Raw genomic sequence first — 22,961 nt, 5'->3', positions numbered from 1 at the left:
GAAACAAGTCCCGAAGCCCTGACCCTAACACGCAAGGGTTAGTGGAGATGTGGGACTTGAACTCAGCTTCTCCGTTGACTCTGGCTGTCTCCCTGACGCAGGCATGTGCTCGCACACCTCCACGGTGGCGATCCCGCCCCCTTAGTAGCGTCCTTAGCTCGGTACTTCTTGCGGGGAAGTTCCTCTTGGCCCAGACACTCTTCCTAGGCCCCGCGTGGTGGGGGAAGCGAAAGGGGCAGTGTGGGGAAGTGGCTGAGGGGTTGGGTCCCGGGTGGTCTGCAGAGAGGCAGGCGGCGGTGCGGAGCCGGGAACCACGCACTCACCCGCCGAGTCCGACGGGCCCGGCCGGGGTGGGCGAGGCACTGGGAACAGCCGCCAGCTCTAGAGGGCGTGAGGCGGGGCGCACGGGGAGGGAGTGCGGCTAACGCGCGCGTGCGCGGTTCATGTGTGGGCCCGCGGGGGCGCGCGCGCGGTTAGCGGGCAGCGAGGGTCGCCTGGGCGGTGCGCAGCACGGCGGGAACATGGCGCGCGGAACTGGCGCGCGCGCCTAGCTGGCGGGACCGTTAGATCGAGGCGGACGCGGCCTGGACCCCGTGGATATGGAGCAGTCGCCGCCGCTGGCGCCGGAGCCCACCCAAGGGCCAACCACCGCAAGGAGCTGAAGGCGGCGGGAGCCCGAGTCGCCGCCGGCGTCGGTGCCGGTGAGTGCGTGAGGGGCTCGGGCCCGGAGACTTTCTTTGTGAAACTCCGGCGGTGGGAGCCAGGCCGGGCCTGAGACTGAGGAGCGCCTGTGAGGCGGAAGGCGTCTCGCAGTCCGGGTTCGATCCCAGCTGCGAGCCGTCAGGCGGCGGGACCTGGTCCAACGCCTGCCTGCCTCAGTTTCCGCTAGAGTGTGGGTGTATGAGGGTGTGTATGGGTGTTGGCCTGCGCACACCGGAGAGGGGTTGTCGGTATACAGTCAGCGCCTAATGCTCGCGGCGCCTCCCCCACTCTCCCCAGTCCCCGTGGGGCGGAACCTGGGGACTGGAGTCCACTGGAGCAGTAGGCGGCACCCGCGGGGAGACAGGTGTCGGCGCAGCCCGGGAGGCTCAGGTGCTACCTTTCCTGGGTGGGGTTTGTGAGGAGGGAGCTCTTCGTCCCCGGAGGTGAGCAAGTCTGTCGGTGGCTCATCACAGAGTGCTGTTTTGGAAAGCGTTCCACCCACCTCAGCTTCCTGCTGTGTTTAGGCCACTAGTCAGGGGGAAGGATGCTGAGCGACATGGACTTTAGAGGTGGGGCTCCTGCTGGAACGGATGGCTCTGGGCTCTCGAGCTAACCCCCACCCTTTCCTCCCAAACCCGTTAGAGCGTAGGAATCATTGGGAGCACCTGATAAAAATGCCACGGATTGTGGCTCACCTAAGCAGGGAAGCCGATTTGGAACTTAAACAAGCTCCCAAGTTGTGATCAGTCGAGCTTGGCAAGCACTGTTTGAGAGAGTAGGCTTCCCGCAAGCAGGAGCCGGTTTTGTGTATACCTCACCATGGCATCTTGGTACCTGGCATGGTGCCTGGCACACGGTAGATGATCAGAAAATATCTGTAGAAAGTCTAAATTATTAGGGAGAGTGCAGCATAGGAGTTCTTGAAACATTTTCAGGAGCTTCCTGAGATTAATATCTGTCAGATTTGTTTTACAGTATATGATTTTTCTCAGCTCCCAACTTTTGTGATTGTTTTAATGCCATGTTTTCAGTATGTTCTAGGCAAAAGCAGGGTATATGTTGCTTAGTATACACTATCCACTAGGCCGATTGCGGTGGCTCACTCCTGTAATCTCAGCACTTTGGGAGGCAGATTGCTTGAGCCCAGGGGCTTGAGGCTGTAGTGAGCCAAGGACTTAGAGACCAGTGTGGGAAACATAGCGAGGTTCGTCTCCGCAAAAATTAGCTGGGTGTGGTAGCGTGCACTTGAAGTCCCAGCTACTCCGGAGGCTGAGGTGGGAGGATTGCTTGAGCTCAGGACGTACAAGTTGCAGTGAGCCAACTTGTGCCACTGCATTCCATCCTGGATAACACAGTGAAACCCAGTCTCCTAAATAAGTAAATAAATACATAAACGATTATGTATACTCCAGCTAGATTAAAATTAATTCTGAATCAAAATTCTAAATTAAAATATGCATGTGTCTTTCTCTTCATCATTTGAGAACACTAGGCTTTTAGGATTTCATTCTGTTGAGGCAGGTAAATATCAACATTTTTGACAAAGCAAATATGAATTACTGTTAATTCGAGAAAGGTGGGAATTTGCTTAAACCTGAGTATTTGTAGTCTGTGATTTTTTTAAATTTTAAATTTAAATTTTTCTTTTTTTTTCTTTTTTTTTGAGATGGAGTCTCACTCTGTCGTCCAGGCTGGAGTGCAGTAGCACAATCTCAGGTCACTACAACCTCCACCTCCCGAATTCAAACGATTCCCCTGCCTCAGCCTCTGGTGTAGCTGGCATTACAAGTGTGTGCCACCACGCCCAGCTAATTTATGTATTTTTAGTAGAGAGGAGGTTTCACTGTGTTGCCCAGGCTGGTCCCAAACTCCTTGACCTCAAGTGATCTGCCCACCTTGGCCTCCCAAAGTGCTGGGATTACAGGCGTGAACCACGGCACCTGGCCTTATTTTTATTTTTTTGAGACAGACTCAGTCTGTCGCCCAGGTTGGAGTGCTGTGGCATGATCTCCACTCACTGCAACCTCCACCTCCCAGATTCCAGCGATTCTAATTCCTCGGCCTCCTGAGTAGCTGGGGTTACTAGACCCGGGTAATTTTTGTTGTATTTTTTTCGTAGAGACTGGGTTTCCCTATGTTGGCCAGGCTGCTCTGGAACTCCTGGCCTCTAGTGATCCACCTGCCTCGTCCTCCCAAAGTGCTGGAATTACAGGCATGAGCCACTGCCCCCAGCCAATCTTTGTGATATTTTGAAATTGACGTTTATATTTTGTTCAGAGTCAAAGCTAAAATAGAATTGTTTGAAAATTAATATTTCAGGAACTATTTTTTAATTAAGTCGAATTTTATTTTATTTCATTTCAGTAGGGTTTTAACTTAAAAATATATATATACATATATATGTATATGTGTGTGTGTGTGTATATATATATATATATATATATATATATATATATATATATATTTTTTTTTTTTTTTTTTTTTTTTTTTTTTCCTGAGACAGAGTCTTGCTCTGTCACCCAGGCTGGAGTGCATTGGCATGATCTTGGACTCACTGCAGCCTCCACCCTCCTGGCTCAAGCAATTCTCCTGCCTTAGCCTCCCAAGTAGCTGGGACTACAGGTGCCCACCACCACATCTGGCTAATTTTTATATTTTTAGTAGAGATGAGGTTTCACCATGTATTCCAGGCTGGTTTTGAACTCCTGATCTCAAATGATCTGCCCTCCTTGGCCTCCCAAAGTGCTGGGATTACAGGCGTGAGCCCCCGTGCCTGGCCTAAAAAATATTTTTAAAGACAGGATCTAGCTATGTTGCCTCAGCTGGTCTTGAACTCCCAGTCTTGGCCTCAAGTGATCCTTCTTCCTCAGCCTTCTGAGTAGCTGGAAGCACAGCTGTGAGCCAGCACACATGGCATTTTTTTATTTCTAATAAAAAAATTAATAGAGTTTCTTGTTTCACTGGACAAAATATGCATATATAGGAAGGAAAGACTTTTTGACTTGAGATTGCGCTGAAGAAGAAAAATGGAAAAATTAGGCATTTTAGTCTCTCAGTGTGTTATTTTTGTAGGTTATACAGATGTCTTTTTAAAGTTTCTTTAGAAAGCTTTATTGAGATAAAGATAAATGAGATAAATTCACCTACCATGAAATCAACCCCTTGAGTGCAGAATTTTATGGTTTATAATATGTTCACAGAATCACACAAACAAGACAGGTGTCTAGATACTTTCAGACCATTTTCATCAGTCCACAAGAAATCCCACACCCATTAGCAGTCATCCTTATTCCCTTTTCCCCTCGTCCCTGGCAATAACTAGCTTACTTTCTGTCTCTGAGTTTAGCTCTTCTGGAGATTTCACAGAATGAAATCTTACTACATATGGTCTTTTGTGATTGACTTATTTCACTTGGCACAGTGTTTTCAAGGTTTATCCATGCTGTTGCGTATATCAGCACTTCACTCTTTTCTAATGCTGAGTAATCTTTTGAATGGATATACCATATTTTATCAGTTCCTCTGTTGATAGGCACTTGAGTTTTTTTTCCAATTTTTGGCTATTATGAACAATGCTGCTATGAACATTTGTGTACAAATTTTAGTGTGGATGTATATTTTCATTTCCCTTGGGTATAGCCCTAAGGAATAGACTATCTGGGTCATCTTATAATTGTTTAAGAATACAGGCACATGCAACCACACCTGGCAAATATTTAAATTTTTTTGTAGATAAAGGGTCTCGCTATGTTGCCCAGGCTGATATTGAACTCCTGGCCTCAAGAGATCCTCTCACCTCAGACTCCCAGAAAATGTTAGCATTACAGATGTGAGTCACTGCACCTATAAAAGAGGCTCATACCTCTTTTTACATATTTTTTTAAGACAGGGTTTCACTCTGTTGCCCAGGCTGGAGTGCATTGGTGGGATCACAGCTCACTGCAGCCTGGACCTCCCTCCATATGATTCTAGCTGTGGGTGTCTTTCCTGTAGTTTTTATTATGTTGCGGTATGTTTCTTCTGTACCCGTTTCTTTGAGGATTAATAGCATGAAGGGATGTTGAATTTCATCAAATGCTTTTTCAGTTTCAGTTGACATGATCATACTGTTTTTGTCATTTATTTAGTTGATATGATGCATCACATTGTATGTTGAGTGACCCTTGCATCCCAGGGATACATTCCACTTGATCATGATGAATTATCTTTTTAATGTTTTACTGAATTTGATTCACTGGTATTTCGTTGAGGATTTTTGCATCAATATTAGAGATACTGGCCTGTAGTTTCCTTCTTTGATGCCTTTGTCTGATTTTGGTATCACAGTAATAATGGTCTCATAGAATACGTTTGGAAGTATTCCCTCCTGTTTTTCAAAATAGTTTGAGTAGGATTCGTACGAGGTCTTTAAATTGTTTGGTGTGAAGCCATCAGCAGTGAAGACATCAGTTCCTGGGCTTTTCTTTACTGGGAGACTTTTTCTGATGGCTTCAATCTCATTACTTGTTACCAATCTGTTCTGGTCTTGGATATTTTCATTATTCAACCTAAGTAGGTTTTATGCATCTAGGAATTTGCCAATTTCTACTAGGCTTTCCAATTTATTGGCATGTAATAGCCAGTTATGATCCTTTGAATTTCTGAAGTTATTAGTTGTAGTGTCTCCTTTTTTTTAATCTGTTGATTTTATTTGAATCTTGTCTCTTTTTTCTTAGTTAGCCTGGTTAAAAGTTTGTCAATTTTGTTTAGCTTTCCAGAAAACCAACTTTTCATTTAATCTTGTGTGTTTCTTATTTCAATTTTATTTCTGCTACAATCTTAGTTATTTTCTTAATTTCGGTTTAGTTTGTTCTTACTTTACTAGTTCTTTAAGATGTATTGTTTATTTGAAGTTTTTCTTTTGTTTGGATGGTAGGCACTTATAGCTGTAAATCTCTGCCTTTGTACTGTTTTCTGCGTAACAAGTTTTGGTATACTGTGTTTTCATTACCCTTTGTTTCATGAAATTTTTGAATTTCTGTCTTAGTATCTTCATTGACCCGCTAGTCATTTATTCAGGAGGGTAGTGTTTAACTTCCATGTGATTGTATTGTTTCCAAAATTACTCTTCTTACTGATACCTAGTTTTATTCCTTTGTAGTCAAAGAAGATGGCCAGGGAGACAGCAGCATGGTCAGAGTGGTAGGAGCTGGCCATCAGTGAGAGCTGCTCCGTGCCTGGCTGCTGGGTGCTAGAGCCTGTGGACCACTGGTTTGCCTCACTGGTTGGTGGTGGCGGTGACAGAGTGTGCAGCACGACCAGAGTGGTAGGACGGGGGCTATCCAGGGCTGCACCTTTCGCAGTGTGGGGTGGGTTGGGGGCGCTATGCAGGGTGTCGTTGCCTGCATTAGGGGTACTGGTTGGTAGCACTGTACAGGGCTGCACTTCCCACGGCAGGGAGGGTGGGTTATGGGCACTTTCTGGGGCTGCAATGCCCATGGAGGAGGACACGTTAGGGCACTATTGGGTATACGCTACTGGTGGCATTGGGGGACGGAGGTGGGGGGCGCTATTGAGGGCAGGACTAGCCGTGGAGGGGGGGCGAGTTTGGTGCTATCAGTGGCTGCACTGCTGGTGGCGGTCAGGAGAGTTGGCATCCAAGGAAGGAGTGGTTCTCCTCTCCCTGACTCCACATTCCAGAGGGCGACCCACTCTTGGTCATACTGGAGTGCAGCAGGCATGCAGCGTTTGCGTTGGAATCCTGAGCATGGCAGAACCCCCACACCCACCGTGGTTCCTGGGCCTGTGCACTCTGGGTCTGTGCCTCAGAGGCTGCCAGGCACCCCTGGGGACACCACGGGGGACAGGGCCCTGTGCGTGGAGGCGTCCGGAACAGGAATTGGCACCTAGGTGCGGAGGGTTGGCTGGGTCTGAATTTTTCTGCTTCTCCTGCTCCCCGAGGAGTGCAGCCCCAGTGGGCCCAATGATTCCTGTGGAGTGGGGAGCTGGGTGCTGTGGTATCTCCAGCACCCACCCCAGACCCCAGTTCCGGGCCAGCTTGGGCCAAAAGGAGAGGCTGGACTTTGGAGGGTGGGTGAGAGTGCCTTTGCTGAAACTGGCCCCTGCCACCCAGTGGCCAGCATGACAAGTTGAGGCTCTAACCCTTCCGCCCCTCACATCTTCCTCTAGGCTTTTCTGGCTTTGCCCGCCCAGCTGCTCCATGCCAGGAGGAGGAGGAGACACCTAGAGCCTGCGACACCGTGGCTCGCCTCGCTGCAGGTGGGTGGCAGCAACGGAGACTGCAGTGCGCCAGAGCGGTAGGAGAGCGGCCACACTAGGAGGGCAGGCGGCTGCAGCCAGGGTTGGGGGTCAGGCTTGCAGTGATGGACGGGCTGCAGCAGTGGCCAGGTGGTAGGAGCCTTGTAGGGAGGACTGGTGCATTGGCAATGGGCCTGGCTTTGTCCTGCCCCTGCCACGGATCTGGCCCTGTACTGCCCTGCCTTGCCCTGTACCTGCCCTACTGTTACCTGGACTGTCTCGGCCCTGTCCTGCTCTGGTCCCATCCTGACCCTGTCTTGGCCCTGTGATACCCTGTCCCTGCCCTGGTCTTGCCCTGAAACTGGCCCTGCCCTGAACCTGCACTGGCCTGACCTTGGCTCTGGCCCTGGCTCTGGCCCTGCCCCTTGTCCTGACCCTTGTCCTGTCGTGGCACTGGCCCTGCCAATGGTCATGGTCCTGCTCCTGTTCTGGCCCTGACCTGGCCTTGGACATGTCCTGGCCCTGCTTTGGCCCATTCCTGCCCTGGCCCCACCATGGGCCTGCCTGTTCTGCCCTCTCCTGGCACTGACCTTGCCCTGTCATGGCCCAGTGGTGCCATTGCCCTGCCTTACCCAATGGTTGTGCCTTGGCCCCGCTTGGTGCTGGCCGCTCCCTGGACCTGCCCTGACCCTGCCTTGGCTTTTGCCCTGCCCTCACTATGGCCTGTCCCTGGCCCTAGCCCTGGTCCTGGCATATCCCTGGCCCTACCCTTATCCAGGCCCTGCCCCTGCTGCTGCCCTGGCCCTGGCCTGGAACCTGGTCCTGTCAAGGACCTGACCTGACTCTGCCATGGCCCTGGCCCTGCTCTGCCTTGTTCCTGGCCCTGACCCAGACCCAGACCCTTTCCTGGCCCTGCACTGGCCTTTCCCTGGCCCTGAGCTGACAGTGGTCTGCCCCTGGTCTTGCCATCACCCTGCCCTGCTGTGCTCTGGATGTGTCATCATGCTGCCCTGGCCCTACTCTGCCTTTGACCCTGCCCTGGTCTTACCTTAGCCCTCACCCTAGTCCTTGCTAGGCCCTGCTGCTATTTCCCTGCCCTACCCTGCCTTGGCTGTGCCCTGGCTCGATTCTGGCCCTGGACCCGGCCCTGCCCTGGATATGCTCTGACACTTCCTCAGCCTTGACACTAGCCTGGCTTTTTCTTGGCATCAGCCCTGCTCTCTCTGTGGACCGGCTCTTGTCCTGTCCTGCACTGGTCATACCATGCCCTGCCCTGCCCTGCCCTGACTCTGGCCTGGCTCAGCCCTGGCCCAGCCTTGGCCTTGGCATTGCCCCTGGTCCTGCCATATTTCTTGCCCTGTCCCTACCCCGGCCTTGGCCCTGACCCTTACCTTGCTCTGGCCCTGCCCTTGCCCTAACGCAGCCCCTGACCCTGTCATGGCCCTGCCCTGGACCTGTCCTGGCCCTGGCCCTGGCCCTTCCCTGCTTGAGACCTTGTCCTGGTTCTCCCCTGGCCCTGACCCTGAAATGACTGGCCCTACCCTGGCCTTGCACTGCTCTGGCCCTTGCTCTGACTCTGGTCCTGTCACTGGCCTAGCCCCAGCCCTGTTGCTGGTCTTACCATGGCCCAGACCCTGCCTTGGCCCTGCCCTGACACTGTCCTGGACCCTGGCTGTGCCAAGATCCTGCACTGTCCTTGCTCTTGTTTTGCTCCTGCCCCAAACCTGGTCCTGCCCAGGCCATGGCCATGGCCCTGGCCCTGGCCCTGCCCTGGCTGTTCCCTGGCCCTGCCCAGGTCTTGGCACTGGCCTGGCCCTGCCCTGCCTTGGCCCTATGCTTTCCTGGCCCTGCCTTCTGGCCCTGTCCCTGCCTTGGCCCTAGCCTGGCTTTGACCCTGCCCTGGCCCTACCTTGACCTTCACCCTAGCCTTACCTGGGCACTGTGTTGGACCTGGCCATAGCACAGACCTGCTTGTGGCCCTGGCCCTGCCATGGCCCTGTCCCAGATGCTAGCCCTGCTGTGGGCCTGGCTTTGTCCCTGGTTCTTAGATGAACCTGGCCCTGCCCTGCCCTTGCCCTTGCCCTGGCACTGGCCTTGGAAATGTCCGTGGTCCTAACCCTGGCCCTGCCCTGGAGCTGCCACTATCTTGGCCCTGCCCTGGCTCTGGCCCTGCCCTGGACCTGGCCCTGCCACAGCCCCAGCCATAGACCTGCCCTGGTTGGTCGTGCCCTACCTTAACCCTGTGCTACCCTGGGCCTGCTCCACCCTGCCCTGGCCCTGCCCTCCCTTTGGCCCTGCCCTGACCCTACCTTGGCTCTCACACTGGCCCTAGCACAGATCTGGTCCTATCTGTGGCCTTGGCCTGACATTGACCCCTGCTCCTGACCCTGGTCCTGCCATGGCCCTTGCCCTGCCAATGACCCTGACAGCTCTGGCCCTGGCCCTGTCTTGGCCCTGGCCCTGAACTGGTGCTGCCCTGACCCTGGCCCTGAAGTGGATTTGCAGGTGTCTTGTCCCTGAGTTAACCTGGCCCGACCACAGCCTTGTCCCTCTCCTGGCTCTGTCCTGGTCTTGTGCTGACCCTGACCCAGAACTTGGCCCTGCCCCAGCCTTGTCCTAGACCTGGCCATAGCCCTGCCTCTGCCCTAGACCGGCACTGGCACTGGCATGGACCCTGGCCCTGGCCCTTCAATACTTAAGGCCATACACTGACCCAGCCCTGGTCCTGACCCTGTCCTGGCCCTAATTTGGCCTGGCTCTCCCCTGGCATGCTATTCTGGCCCTAGCCCTGACCCTCTCCCTGTCCCTGTCCTGGCCCTAGCCCCGTTCCTGGTCCTGCCATGGCCCTTGTCCTGACATTGCCCTTTCCAGGTCCTGGCCCTGGCCCTGTCCCAGGCCTGCTCTGGCCCTGGTCTGAACCCTGGCCCTGCAATGGACCTGCCTTGGTCCTGCCCAGACCCTGGCTCTGGCCCTACCTCTGCCCTGGCCATACCGTTGCCCTGGCCTGGACCCCGGTCCTCATCCTTGTCCTGCCCCAGCCGTGGCCCTGACCCTGCCCCGCCTGTGCCCTGCCATGGCTGGCCCTGCCATTGCCCTGCCCTAGCCTGCCCTGCTTGTGCCCTAGATCTGCCCCGGCCTTTGCCCCATCTTGGTTCTAGCCTTGAAAACAAAAAAAAAGGAAAAGAAGCATTTTGTATTCTCTTTTAGAAAGGGTAGATGACTGGAAAAGTATTAATAATGAAAATAACCAAAAATTGGACTTATAAATTATAAACTATGTAATTATAACTATTAGTATTTGAAAATATATGCAGATCTACAATTCTTCATGTGGAAATACAAAATTCAACAGTTATGAATACCTAAACCTAAGTTTTGGAAAATCTGATCTATGCTGATGTAGGGGCATTTATAGTTTTTTTTTTTTTTTTTTTTTTTTTTTTTTTAAAACAGAGTTTTTGCTCTTGCCCAGGCTGGAGTGCAATGGCATGATCTTGGCTCACTGCAACGTCCAATTCTTGGTTTCAAGTAATTCTCTTGCCTCAGCCTCCCGTGTAGCTGGGATGACAGGCACCTGCCCACACCCAGCTAATTTTTTTTTTTTTTTTTTTGATACGGAGTCTTGCTCTGTCACCCAGGCTGGAGTGCAGTGGCTCAATCTTGGCTCACTGCAAGCTACACCTCCTGGGTTCACGCCATTCATTCTCCTGCCTCAGCCTCCCGAGTAGCTGGGACTACATGTGCCTGCCACCATGCCCAGCTAATTTTTTGTATTTTTAGTAGAGACAGAGTTTCACTGTGTTAGCCAGGATGGTCTCGATCTTCTGACCTTGTGATCCACCCACCTTAACCTCACCAAGTGCTAGGATTACAGGTGTGAGCCACCGCACCCGACCAGGGGTATTTATAGTCTTATTGATCCCAGTTCATGTGATTATTCATATGATTTGCCACTAGAGTTATTCCATAATAGGCAGAATATTTACCACATTACCTTTCTAAAATCTAAATATTTTTGGATTGTAATTTCAAAGAATCTGACTTGGAAATCTTATTTTGAAATCTGATCCTAAGGAATTCGGATAAGCTATTGGAAAATATCACAAATGACAAAAATTTTGCGTTAAGATAAAATTGTTGATAAATTTAAATCACTTTGCAGCCGAGCATGGTGGTTCACACCTGTAATCTCAGCACATTGGGAGGCCGAGGCGGGTGGATCATGAGGTCAAGAGATCGAGACAATCCTGGCCAACATGGTGAAACCCCATCTCTACTAAAAATACAAAAAATTAGCCGGGTGTGGTGCTGCGTGCCTGTAGTCCCAGCTACTGGAGAGGCTGAAGCAGGAGAATTGCTTGAACCCAGGAGGCAAAGGTTGCAGCAAGCTGAGATCGCACCACTGCACTCCAGCCTGGTGATAGACCGAGACTCCATCTCAAAAAAACAACAAAAAAAATTAAATTACTTTGTATATATAAGGGTCTAATTTTTTAAAAAATTGTAAAATATCCTATACGTTCATTAGTATTACTTATTTGTTTTTATCACTCCATCAATGTGAGGCGTAAATAAAATTTGTTAAGTTAAAACTTTCGGTGTACTTTCATTCATTTATTTATTTATTTTGAGACAGTTTCGCTCTATCATCCAGGCTGGAGTATAGTGGCATGATCTCGGCTCACTGCAACCTCCGCCTCCAAGGCTCAAGTGATTCTCGTGCCTCAGCCTTCCAAGTAGCTGGGACTACAGGCATGCGCCACCATGCCTGGCTAATTTTTAAAAGTCCTATATCATATAAGAACATTAGAGTTCTGGGATTATTTTTTGTTTGTTTAAGAGACAGGGTCTCACTGTATTACGCAGGCTGGGGTGCAGTGATGTGATCATAGCTCACTGTAGCCTGGAACTCCTGAGCAAAGCAATTCTCCCTCCTCAGCCTCCCCAGTAGCTGGGACTACAGGTGCTTGCCACAATGCCCAGCTAGTTTTTAAATTTTCTGTAGAGATAGGTCTCACTGTGTTGCCTAGTCTGGTTTCAAACTCCTGGCCTCAAGGGATCCTCCCCACTTGGCTTCCCAAAGTGCTAGGATTACAGGTGTAAGTGACCATGCCGGGACAAGAACATGAGACTTCTCTTACCATTTTTTTATATCTAGGTGGAATAGCATAGTATTATGTGTCAGTGTTGAATTATTTTAAAATATTATGCACTGAAACATGGTAATAATCTGGGTCAGTTTCTATCTTGACCTAGGTTTAAACATATTAGCTAACATGAGGGGCCCAAAATTAATAATGATTCCATACCATCTCCTTGTTTATTTATTCATTGAGACAGAGTTTTGATCTCTCACAAAGGTTGGAGTGCAGTAGCACCATCTTGGCTCACTAGAACCTCCACCTCCTGTGTTCAAGTGATTATCCTGCCTTAGCCTCCTGAGTAGCTAGGATTACGCCCACCACCACAACCAGCTAACTTTTGTATTTTTAGTACAGATAAAGTTTCACCAGGTTGGCCAGGTTGGTCTTGAACTCCTGATCTCAAGTGATCCGCGGCCTTGGCCTCCCAAAGTGTTGTCATTATAGGCGTGAGCCACTGCCTCCAGCCACCATCTCCTTTCATTAAAAATATGTGAGCTGAAAATAATTTGAGGGCAGTTATTTTCATATAGTCATTTTATCAAACAGGGATTATATTAATGACTAGTATTAATATTTATTTTATCTAAAATTATGTCTGATTTTTCTAAATTCTCTGACTTGTTAATAATGTTAAACATTAGGTTTAATACATATAATTAGGTCTGTGTGGATGCACTATGTAAATAAAATTGTTTTTAACATTTTGTAAGGTCTGCTGCTTTACAAGTCTTATTATCTTTGCTCCATTTTTGATACCAAAATTTTAACTGTGATAATTAGGCTAGAGATAGCAAATCAAGGGTATGTTTATATAATCACTCTCAAGGATCTCAAGGGTCATTTTCTGGTTACATTATGAAAATTGTAAAAGGAATCAAGTATATATTCCAGATAATAGCTCTTGATAAATCATATACATCTATATAATAGCTATAGATATAGTTTAAGATTTAGATCTAGATATATTCAGCAACTTTGTAATTTATCAAAAGGTTTTGGTTAAAATGTAAGACATTCCTCAATATAGAATTAGTTCTAAAAATTTGTTGCAATGAAGAATGTTAACAACTTACCTTCCTGTTTTCTCTGAATATGAAACAATTCAAGATAGACATAGAAATAAAGCATAATGAACTTTGGGAGGCCGAGGCAGGTGGATCATGAGCTCAGGAGATCGAGACCATTCTGGCTAACACGGTGAAACCCCGTCTCTAATAAAAATATACAAAATTAGCTGGGCGTGGTGGTGGGCGCCTGTAGTCCCAGCTACTTCGGAGGCTGAGGCAGGAGAATGGCGTGAACCAGGTAGGCGGAGCTCGCAGTGAGCCGAGATTGCGCCATGGCACTCCAGCCTGGGCTGCAGAGCCAGACTCCATCTCAAAACAACAACAACAACAACAAAAAAAAACAGAAGTAAAGCATAATGAAATAAACATGTGAGCTCTGTAGCTCATGGTGTTGTTGGCGTGGTGCTTAGCAACAGGGATTTTCCTACACTACACTCCAGTACAGGGCACAGAGCAGAAACTTTATTGCTAAATTTACCGCATAGCAGAGGCAGAACAGAATTCATTTTCACTGCAGGCTGGGACATCCTAAAGACAAAAAACATGGAATGGGTGATATGAGCTACCCTAGTTTATTTCTTTCTTCCAATATCTCCAGTCACCTCCACTATTGATCTAGTGAAAACAGGCGCAGGAACAGTGCTCTAAACGACATTCGATGTCCTTCAATATCTTTGTCAGTCTGAATTCAAAGGAAATATTTTAACTCAAGTAAAAAGAAGACTACAAAAGAAAGATAACCCATATGGGGATAGCAGAATTTTTTGTTTTTGTTGTTGTTTTAAAATCTCTTGTTTTTGGCCACAGGCACTCTGAGCTAGAAGAAAATATTTAGGAGAAGGATGAGAAATCCTTCTGTGTTGAATAAGGGAATTACTTCCAGATGGCAATGGTGTAAATCTACTATGATAACAACTATATATATATATATAATGAAATATGTTTATAGAAAATGTCTGGAATCTTTTTATAGTCTAGAGTCCTTCTCAATGGCCTTAATTTGCAAAAATAGCCTCAAATTATTTTATTTAATTAAAAACTGCAAGAGATTAACATTTTCTCCTCATAAGGTCCAGTCAAGTATTTTTCTTTTGAATGAAGAAAAAAATACATTGCCTGTAAAAAATTAATTCTTTGATTTAGTAGTTAGCAGTGAACAGTTGATATGGTTTGGATGTTTTATCCCCTCCAAATCTCATATTAAAATGTGACCTGTATTGTCGGATGTGAGGCCTAGTGGGAGGTATTAGGTCATGGGGGCAAATCCCTCATGAATGGTTTGGTTCCCTCCCTTGGGTAATAAGTGGTAAAGAGTTTACAGGAGATCTAGTTGTTTAAGAGTGTGGCACCTTCCCTCTCTCTCTCTTGCTCCCTCTCTTGCCCTATGACATGCTGGCTCCCCTTCAAATTCTGCCATGATTGTAATCTTCCTGAGGCCCTCACCACAAGCAGATGCTGACACTATGCATTGTGTACAATCTGCAGAACCAAGGGCCAAATAAATCTATTTTCTTTATAAATGACCCAGTCTTAGTTATTTGTTTTACAACAACACAAACACACTAACACACTGGTGAAAATCAACTTAAATACTTAAATACAGATAATATAAATTTAAAATGCAATCTAAGAGTTGTAAAATTTATATTTCCCCTTCAAAAATTAGCATTCTAAATTATCTCCTTACTATTTGTTTTGCTTTATACACTTCCAACTTCCTATGCTCAAGTTTTCAGAAGACATTGAAGAACATCACATCATTAGAGAGAAGAAAAGGAAAAATTGGCTACAAAAATTAACCATACAGTGTATTGAATTAATAGAGTTTTGCTGAACAATTTTTGTTAATGGAGTTTATATTTTTAGGTATAAATATTTTTCTACATGATATATTTAGACAAAGTTTTTTTTAAATATAGGATATTTGCAGCAAACGGTCCAAAGGATCCCAATTATTAAACAAAACACAAATATAAATTGATTACAGTATATCAAATATGCCTTAATAATTAGGTAGCTATAAAAAGTAGAGTTACAAGATTGAGAGGTACTTTGTCTTCTGTGAAGGCTTTAAAAACATGAAGCTACATTTCCCACCATCAAAGATTTATGTGTAAGAGATTTGTCTTCATTTTGTTTTAATTAGATGAAACGATTTGCCCATGGGGCATCTAAACTCAGAATGAGTTTGACATCACAACACAGTTTATATTCTCTCAGGAAAAATGAAAGGAAACTAAAGGATTTTATTTTTCAGACATCAAATCACAAAACAAAACAGTCCAATTTTCTTTGGGTTCTCAGTTGTACATTTATGTCTTCAGGGTTTTAAAAAACCACACCGTTTTGCATGCTTAAAAATAAAAGATTCGGTTCAAGAGTTCATCTTTGTAACATCTTTTCAATTTTTCTTTAAATCTCTAGGTCTAAAACTTTGCTAAATAAAAAATATTTAGCGAGAAACAAGTTTACATGTGTTGCTTGCTGAAAGAAACTGCTAAAGGGAATGCATTAAGATATGGAACACAATTATGCAAAGTAAATACTCAGTTGAACATGCCAGATGTTTCCTAAATTTAAATTGTTAAATGGCCATCGTGGAAGAATCATTTTAGTTTTAAATTCTGTAATAAGCAAAATAACTTTCTTACATAAAAACATTTGTTCCTTTGTGTATGAACCAAATCAAATATCATATAAAAATTATACATAAGATATGAATCATATATAATGTAGCTTATCCAAACATATTTTAGATGAAACTGTCAGTATTTTTTATATTATCAACATAGAACTGTTTTAAGATAAATAAATCATTTATTCATTTTTCATCTCAATATTTTTATAAGAGATGACATAAGTTAGATGATTCAGCTAATCTACACTGAAAGCAGTGGATAAGTCAATTACAATTTTTGCTCAAATATGGAAAAAGTCTGACTGATTATAATCAAAATCATTAACTGTCATTTACTTTTCCTGAAAGCTCTTTAATATAAAATCTAGACATAAAGAAACTAATTTATCCTCTTAAGTGCTATAAACATTTTCTCTCATTTCATTTTTTTTTTTAGTTGTCAATTTTGATAGTGTTCAACTAGAAGTCACGAATAGGCAATCCACTAACATAGGTTCACAGTTCTCATATATTTTTGAAACATTGAAATCAACCTGTCCCCAACTCCATTCCAGAGGCTAATGTCGAAATACCTGCTGAAAGCAATGCCAAGCCAATATCTCTGAAATATAAAGTTGGCTATTATAATTCTCTTCATGATTATATTTTTATGTATATATGAGAGACAGAGCAAACATTACACATGAAAAATAATACATTTTACTTAAAAACATGTTAAGGTCTCCTGGGTGTGGTGGCTCATGCCTGCAATCCCAGCACTTTGGGAGGCCGAGGCAGATGGATCACGAGGTCAGGAGATTGAGACCATCCTGGCTAATATGGTGAAACCCTGTCTCTACTAAAAACACAAAAAAATTAGCCGAGAGTGGTGGTGGACGCCTGTAGTCCCAGCTACTTGGGAGACTGAGGCAGGAGAATGGCATGAACCCAGGAGGCAGAGCTTGCAGTGAGCCGAGATCGTGCCACTGCACTCCAGCCTGGGCGACAGAGCAAGATGCCATCTCAAAACAAGCAAACAAATAAAACATGTTAAGGTCTATAAGGTCTACAACTTAGTCATTTCTTAACTATACGACCTTGGGTGGGCCACTTACTTAGTTTCTCATTACTTTGGTTTTCTTTCTTGAAAAGTGAAGAATTGTTTTCTTCACAGTTATAATTGTTTTCTGAAAATGTAAAACACTAGAAACATTGCCTGGCATTGAGTAAATTATTAGTTTTTATTATTAGTACTGATTCATATTTTTCCTACTTAAAATTAGATAACGACTCCTCATATTCTGCATGATTTTATAGGATATAAGTTTAAATACAAATCAAGACATATTTGAAATAATGTTCTATACATTCAACCTCAGATTTATTCGATGAAACCCCACATTTCTCTCTATTTGATAGCGTAGGTGACATTCACATCCTATTTTGCCTCATTATTGAACAGTGTCTTACCTAATTTTCTAGATGTCATAATTTATTTACTCTTGTCTCGTTTTCATGATGGTGTGTATACTGCATATTTTGAGACATAGTACATTTAATTGAGTTATTTTCTTGCTCAAAAAGAAAACTAGTTCCACCTCCATTGAATCTTCAGTTTAAACTTAGAATTTAAAAAAACTGTTCTATGGCAATGATCATAAACTAGCAAATTGGTATCTCATGGGTTGGATTAAGGCTGACTGACAGAATGACCTTGAAGGGCCATGTGTGTGCATGTTTACTCACCTTAAAATAAAAGAATTTTCTGTATGGATTTATTTTACTAAGATTAGTGAGCCTTTTAAAAGAGTCAGGTGCTTCTGATTCATCATATATGTCCCTGCCCAGTCTCTCTGTACTCACAAATCAGTCTGAGTGATGTAATATCATTTGAAGGTAGACTGTGATAAGTTAAAGCTGCATATTATGAACTATGAAGTAACTATAAAAATAAAAAGAGTTACACCTAAAACCTAATAAAGAAAAAAAGATCATAAAAATCAATATAAAGCAGAAAAAAATATGCATCAGAAAAGCATATGATAAAATAGAAAATAGTGAGATGTTAGACTTAAAACCAACAATACAATAAGTATTTTGGAAGAGTAGATGAAATATAAATTTGAGGCTACCAATTTTAAGTGGATTTTGAGGACAGTCACTGTATTCTTAAGAAAGTTCTATTAATTTTGCAAATACTTTGAGGGGTATAAAAATAGAGATATAATAAATTGTACACTAAAGACAATAAGTGATGATTAAGTACTTTAATTTATCACAGATGCTACGTATTTCCGAAATCCAGTAGAAATGTAATCAATTTGTTTGACAGAACTTCAGTCTTTCTATTAACAAGTCTTTCAGATCAAAATTAAAGAAAATCATATTGTATACTTGAGCGATGTCCTTTATAGAGTCTTCATCCTCGGTCATAGGCTCAATTGCACGTGTCTGGTAAGAATTATAAATAATAGGACAGTTATTTCAGTTAATATGTTCTGTTAATCTATTTCAATTCAGAAAAAACACCTATTTAGTTTTAGGATCTAATATATGTGAACAAATTTGGGAGGATTTCTTTAATAATCTATATGCATTCTTTGTTTTACATTCTTTCAAGCAAACATATGACATGGACAAATATGTGCAAACACAAAATCACTGCAGTATATTAGAGTGGAAATGCAACGGCAGCATTATTTTTCAGTAAGTTCAGTAAAATATTTGAGTCATGCTGAGTACAAAATACTTTGTTAAGGCTAATTAGGTTGCAGATTATAAAATGTATTGGTAATAAATAGTACCAATAAATTAGACTCACCTTTCTCAAAAGAAAGTGACTAATAATATTTTGTTGCTGAGTTAAACAGAATAAATGTCTAAGAACTTAGCCAGAAGGCTGAGATTTTAATTAGTTATTAAGGTGTTCAGGTTAATGTAAATCAGATTTGCCTTTCTAGATAAAGAATACAGATTGACAGTGGCATTAACATTGTCATTAAATCTTAAATAAACACTAATTTCCCAGTGCTTGCAAGAATCTGACCTGGAAAAAGATGAAAAAAAGGAGATACTATAGAGTTTTTTGTTAATTATCAAGCTTTTCCTTTGTGTTTTGTTTATCAGATATATAACGTTTGAAACTGAAGCTGATAATCAAATGAAATAGTTTTTAAAAACTACTTGTTGGAGTCAAATGACTACTCTTGGCTTTTCTTTCTTTTTTTCCATTTCCATTTATAATAGCCAAAAAAAGTTTCTTGTCACTGTTTCTAAATAACACCATGACCTCCTGCTCACAAATTAAAATGTATTGCAATTCTCTAAATAAGAACAATCTACCCTTTCTAAAATTTCAAATTAAATGTGCTTTATTTTTAGTATAGTGACCTACCCTGCATGTATAAATTAAATGTAAGAAACATTTTATGTTTAGTAGGCTTGAAAATGAGACTATTTTTCCCTTATTTTTTCTCCTTAAAACTTATTAATTCCTTTTTATATTCTAGATCTATAAATACTAAAATATTCTATCTATTAACTGCTCTAATCTTTATGTAACAGTGTAGGTTCTACCCATGTAACAGATGAGGAAACCAAGGAGCACAGTTATTTACTAACTCGCACAAGGCAAGTTTCAAAATTGTCTTTGAAAATAATGATTGCTTTTAAGGTTTATTCTATAATGGTTTAAGATCATGGGTTACAGAAGTAGAACAACAGTGTCTAATTACTAGTTCTAATAATTCTTATCGGATTTGTTGAGATTTTATACACATACATGTTTGTTTTTGTGTATAAGTATATATGTAACAATGTATTACACATATGAATTAACTGTTTAATATGTGTGAACTATTATATTCATTACTTGGCATTAATGTTTAGGTTGTTTCGATTTTACCCTCAAAATGTAATGACTTTTTGAGAGCCTATATCAAATTATTGGAAATACAAATGTATTTTTAAAGGGATTAGGGATTCTTAGTATTTGAATATGAATTGTGAAGATTAGTATTGAAAAAACTCTTGGTAACTTAGCAGGAGTAGCTGCAAAGGTGTTCCTTCTTTTCCTAAATGAATTATAAAGTATAAGAGTATTAAAGTCTACTTGTTTTTACTGCTAAATATATATATATATATATATATATATATATATGTAGAATTTGAAGCTTTAGTTCATCTAACTACGATTCCTCTCTCAGAGCCTTTCCTGAGGAAATTTTTTTTTTGGTGGAGAGACTGAGAACACGAGGTGCACAGTGACCAGCTAAAGGGAGAATGAGGCAGTTCCAAAATGAATTATAAAGTATACGAGTATTAAAGTCTACCTGTTTTTTATTGCTAAAGTTGTGTATATATATATATATATATATATATATATATATATATATATATATTTATGAAAATGTAGAATTTGAAGCTTTGGTTCATCTAACTGTGATTCCTCTACCAGAGCCTTTCGTGAGGAAATTTCTTACCCTGGGCCGTCTGTCCTGTGTGTCTGTCCTCCTTGTGATCAGTTATTTGCACAGTGGCTCTGACCTGGCAGCCCACCTCTGGGTCCCCACTTCCCCAGAACTTCCCAGTCTGCCTTCTCCTGCCAGACACCCTGAGGCAGCTGTGTCCCCCAGACATAGCCTGGATGGGTGTGCACCTGTCCCCACCACCGTCTGTCACCTCTGCTCCACACCTGACCAGTGGCCAGCACCACACTGGGGTTGACTGCCTTCACCGTGTCCATGCCTGCTCCGGCAGTGGGAGCTCAGTGCCAGGCTGTGGGGGGCATCTTGGAAAGCAGAGGTGTCCCCGCAGGATCTCTATGAGACTCTGTGTTGTCGGTGGCCGCGCTGGTTTCCCCGGAGTAGCGCCCGATGTCACTGCCGAGACCTTAATGGAAGGTGCGCGTCCAGTCCTCGCACTGCTGTGTGTTCTGGTCAGAATGGAAGTGGTGGCCTCCACTAGGAGCTTCTGTGCTTTGGGAGAATTTGTCCAAACCGTGGTCCCGTTTGTTCTCCAATCCTGTGTGGACACCATGACCCAGTTGTGTAAACACAGGCCCCTTGCAGCTCAGAGGCTGCCCTCTGAGAGTCACCGTCGTGTCGCTTTGGGGAAAAGATGAGCCCGCCCGGTTCCTCTCTGTGCACCTCATGCCTGGGGCTCCGTCCCGTCCTGGGTGGGTTTTCACCTGCACCGCTGGCCCCTCCCCCGGGAGTGTTGGTGGAGCCGGCTTTCTCAGCCAGGAGCCTGTTGCGGGGTCAGCGGCTGGAGCTCAAGGTCGGCTCAGGGGACTTTCTCGTGCTGGAGGTTGGCTGCGGAGCAGCCTGCATTTCTCGGAAAACAGGGCCCAGGGCCTGCTCCACGCCGCTGTCCACGTCTTCACCATCCCCTCGTTGCAGGTTTGAGGCCAAGCTCAGACCTGTGGAGCAGAAGCTGAGTGCGCTGCAGTCCCCGCTGGCCCAGAGGCCCTTCTTCGAGGTGCCCTCACCCCTGGGCGCCGTGGACCTGTACGAGTATGCATGCGGGGATGAGGACCTGGAGCCACTGTGACGCCACCCATGAGAAAGCCGCTGCGGGGCCGCTCCACACGTGCCACGGCCACCACTGGGACACCGCCGCTTGTGTAAAAACTGTTGTCTTTTGTGGAAAATGAGTGTGTTTGCATGGAATGATAAATTTTTATTTATTCACAGAAGCGTGTTGATTGCCGCTGTGGGTTCGTGGCTGGACCTGCCTAGAGCTCTGTGCCCAGGGGACACGTAGGGCCGCTCGTGAACAGGACAGGTTCCCACACTGACACCCTCCGGCACTTGCCGTTCCCGACTTGACCCGGCCTCAGTTCCGGGGCCTGCGTCTTTCTGGAAAGGGTCTGTGTGGGCACAAGGGTGACCGGCGGCTCCCGGGCGCCTTGCCAGTCCTAGACAGGAGTCTCCGCCATGGCCTGTATGAATGTTTTGTGTAAATGTACAAAAGCGTTTCTGGCGATCACACTTGTATTTTTGAATGAATGTTTGGAGGATTTTTCAGTCACGGGCTTGGCTCCCTCAGCCACAGCATGGCTCCTTTCAGAATTTACAAACGTCGGTGCTGGAGGGGGACCGCGGCCACGCCAGATGCATCGGGATGCAGGCTGGGCCTCTCTGAGGGGCGTCCTCCCCAGCCAGGGGGGCCCCACCCTTGGGCTGTTCCCTCCCAGAGCCACGGACCCAGGCCACATTCCACAAACAACCCCAGAAGGAAGGAGCCCTTGCCAGAGTGAGGACGTCCACACCTGGGAGCCACGTGCAGCGACACCTAAATGAGGGGGTTCGGAGGCCCCGCCAGGAGGAGCCCTGTGTGCAGGGGAGGCCACGAGCCCCCAGGTCCCCCAGGGGCACCCGACATGGATAAGCCCAGGCCCAGCTCTGTTCCCTCTGCAGGCAGGGGAGGGTCACAGGTGGTGACCATGGGAATGACCCCGTCCTCACACAAGACAAAATGCTCCCCCAGGAAAGGGAGGTGGCAGCATCTACAGGGCAGGGCACAGGTGGGCAGGGCGGCCCTGGGCACTTGGTGGGGAGGGCAGGGCCGGGCCGGGCCGGGACCACCCCAAGAGCAGCACACACGCCCCGTTAATCTACTGGCAGCTGTGGCTGTGAAGGAGGTAGATGCACAGGGTGGTCCCATGACCCCTGAGGAGAGACGGTGCGGGCTCCAGGCAGTGGGTAGACTGGCCGCACCTCCCAGGGAAATGGCTGCTGCCCCCAAGGTGTCCTCTGTCACCAGGTGCTCCCCTGAATTCCCGGATGCCCCCACCTGGGTCTGCGAAGGGTCAGGGTCCCCAACAACAGGACAGGTGCAGGGCCGGAGAGTCTGACTGTGGCTGCTGCAGGGAAGTGACACTGGGAGCCACGGCCTGCAGGGCCCACCCTGCCCCAAGCTCCGGGAAGCCCATCTGGGAGAGCATGTCTGCCCCACACCACCTCAGGACACCCCTCACACACACCTATGAGCTGGAGCCCATGGTCATGGGAGTGAGGGGCCAGAAGTGAGGGGTTCACCTCTGACTGGGACCCTCAGCTTCCCACACTGACACTAGGAGCCCCCCAATTGGGGTTCAAGGCTGAGACATCAGAAGCCTCCCTGGGGCTGTGAAACGAAAGACAGCGTCCCCCACCCACATCCCTGGTGAGGCTCCTGCACAGCCTGAGTGTC

General features: G+C 45.7%; 1 long non-coding RNA gene across 1 annotated transcript; it reads left to right on the top strand.

Annotated features, from left to right (window-relative positions):
- The first annotated feature begins 463 nt into the window (after nucleotides 1–463).
- On the top strand, nucleotides 464–21,456 carry LOC107987386 (uncharacterized). Its single transcript, NR_171660.1, has 5 exons — nucleotides 464–701; nucleotides 5,843–6,007; nucleotides 6,871–6,960; nucleotides 19,332–19,397; nucleotides 21,167–21,456. It is a non-coding gene; the product is annotated as an uncharacterized LOC107987386 (long non-coding RNA).
- The last annotated feature ends 1,505 nt before the right edge of the window (nucleotides 21,457–22,961 follow it).

This window comes from Homo sapiens (genome assembly GCF_000001405.40).
Source record: "Homo sapiens chromosome 16 unlocalized genomic scaffold, GRCh38.p14 Primary Assembly HSCHR16_RANDOM_CTG1".
Lineage (NCBI taxonomy): Eukaryota > Metazoa > Chordata > Mammalia > Primates > Hominidae > Homo > Homo sapiens.
Note: the sequence above shows the minus strand (reverse complement) of the source record. Positions and strands in the feature narration are given on the sequence as shown.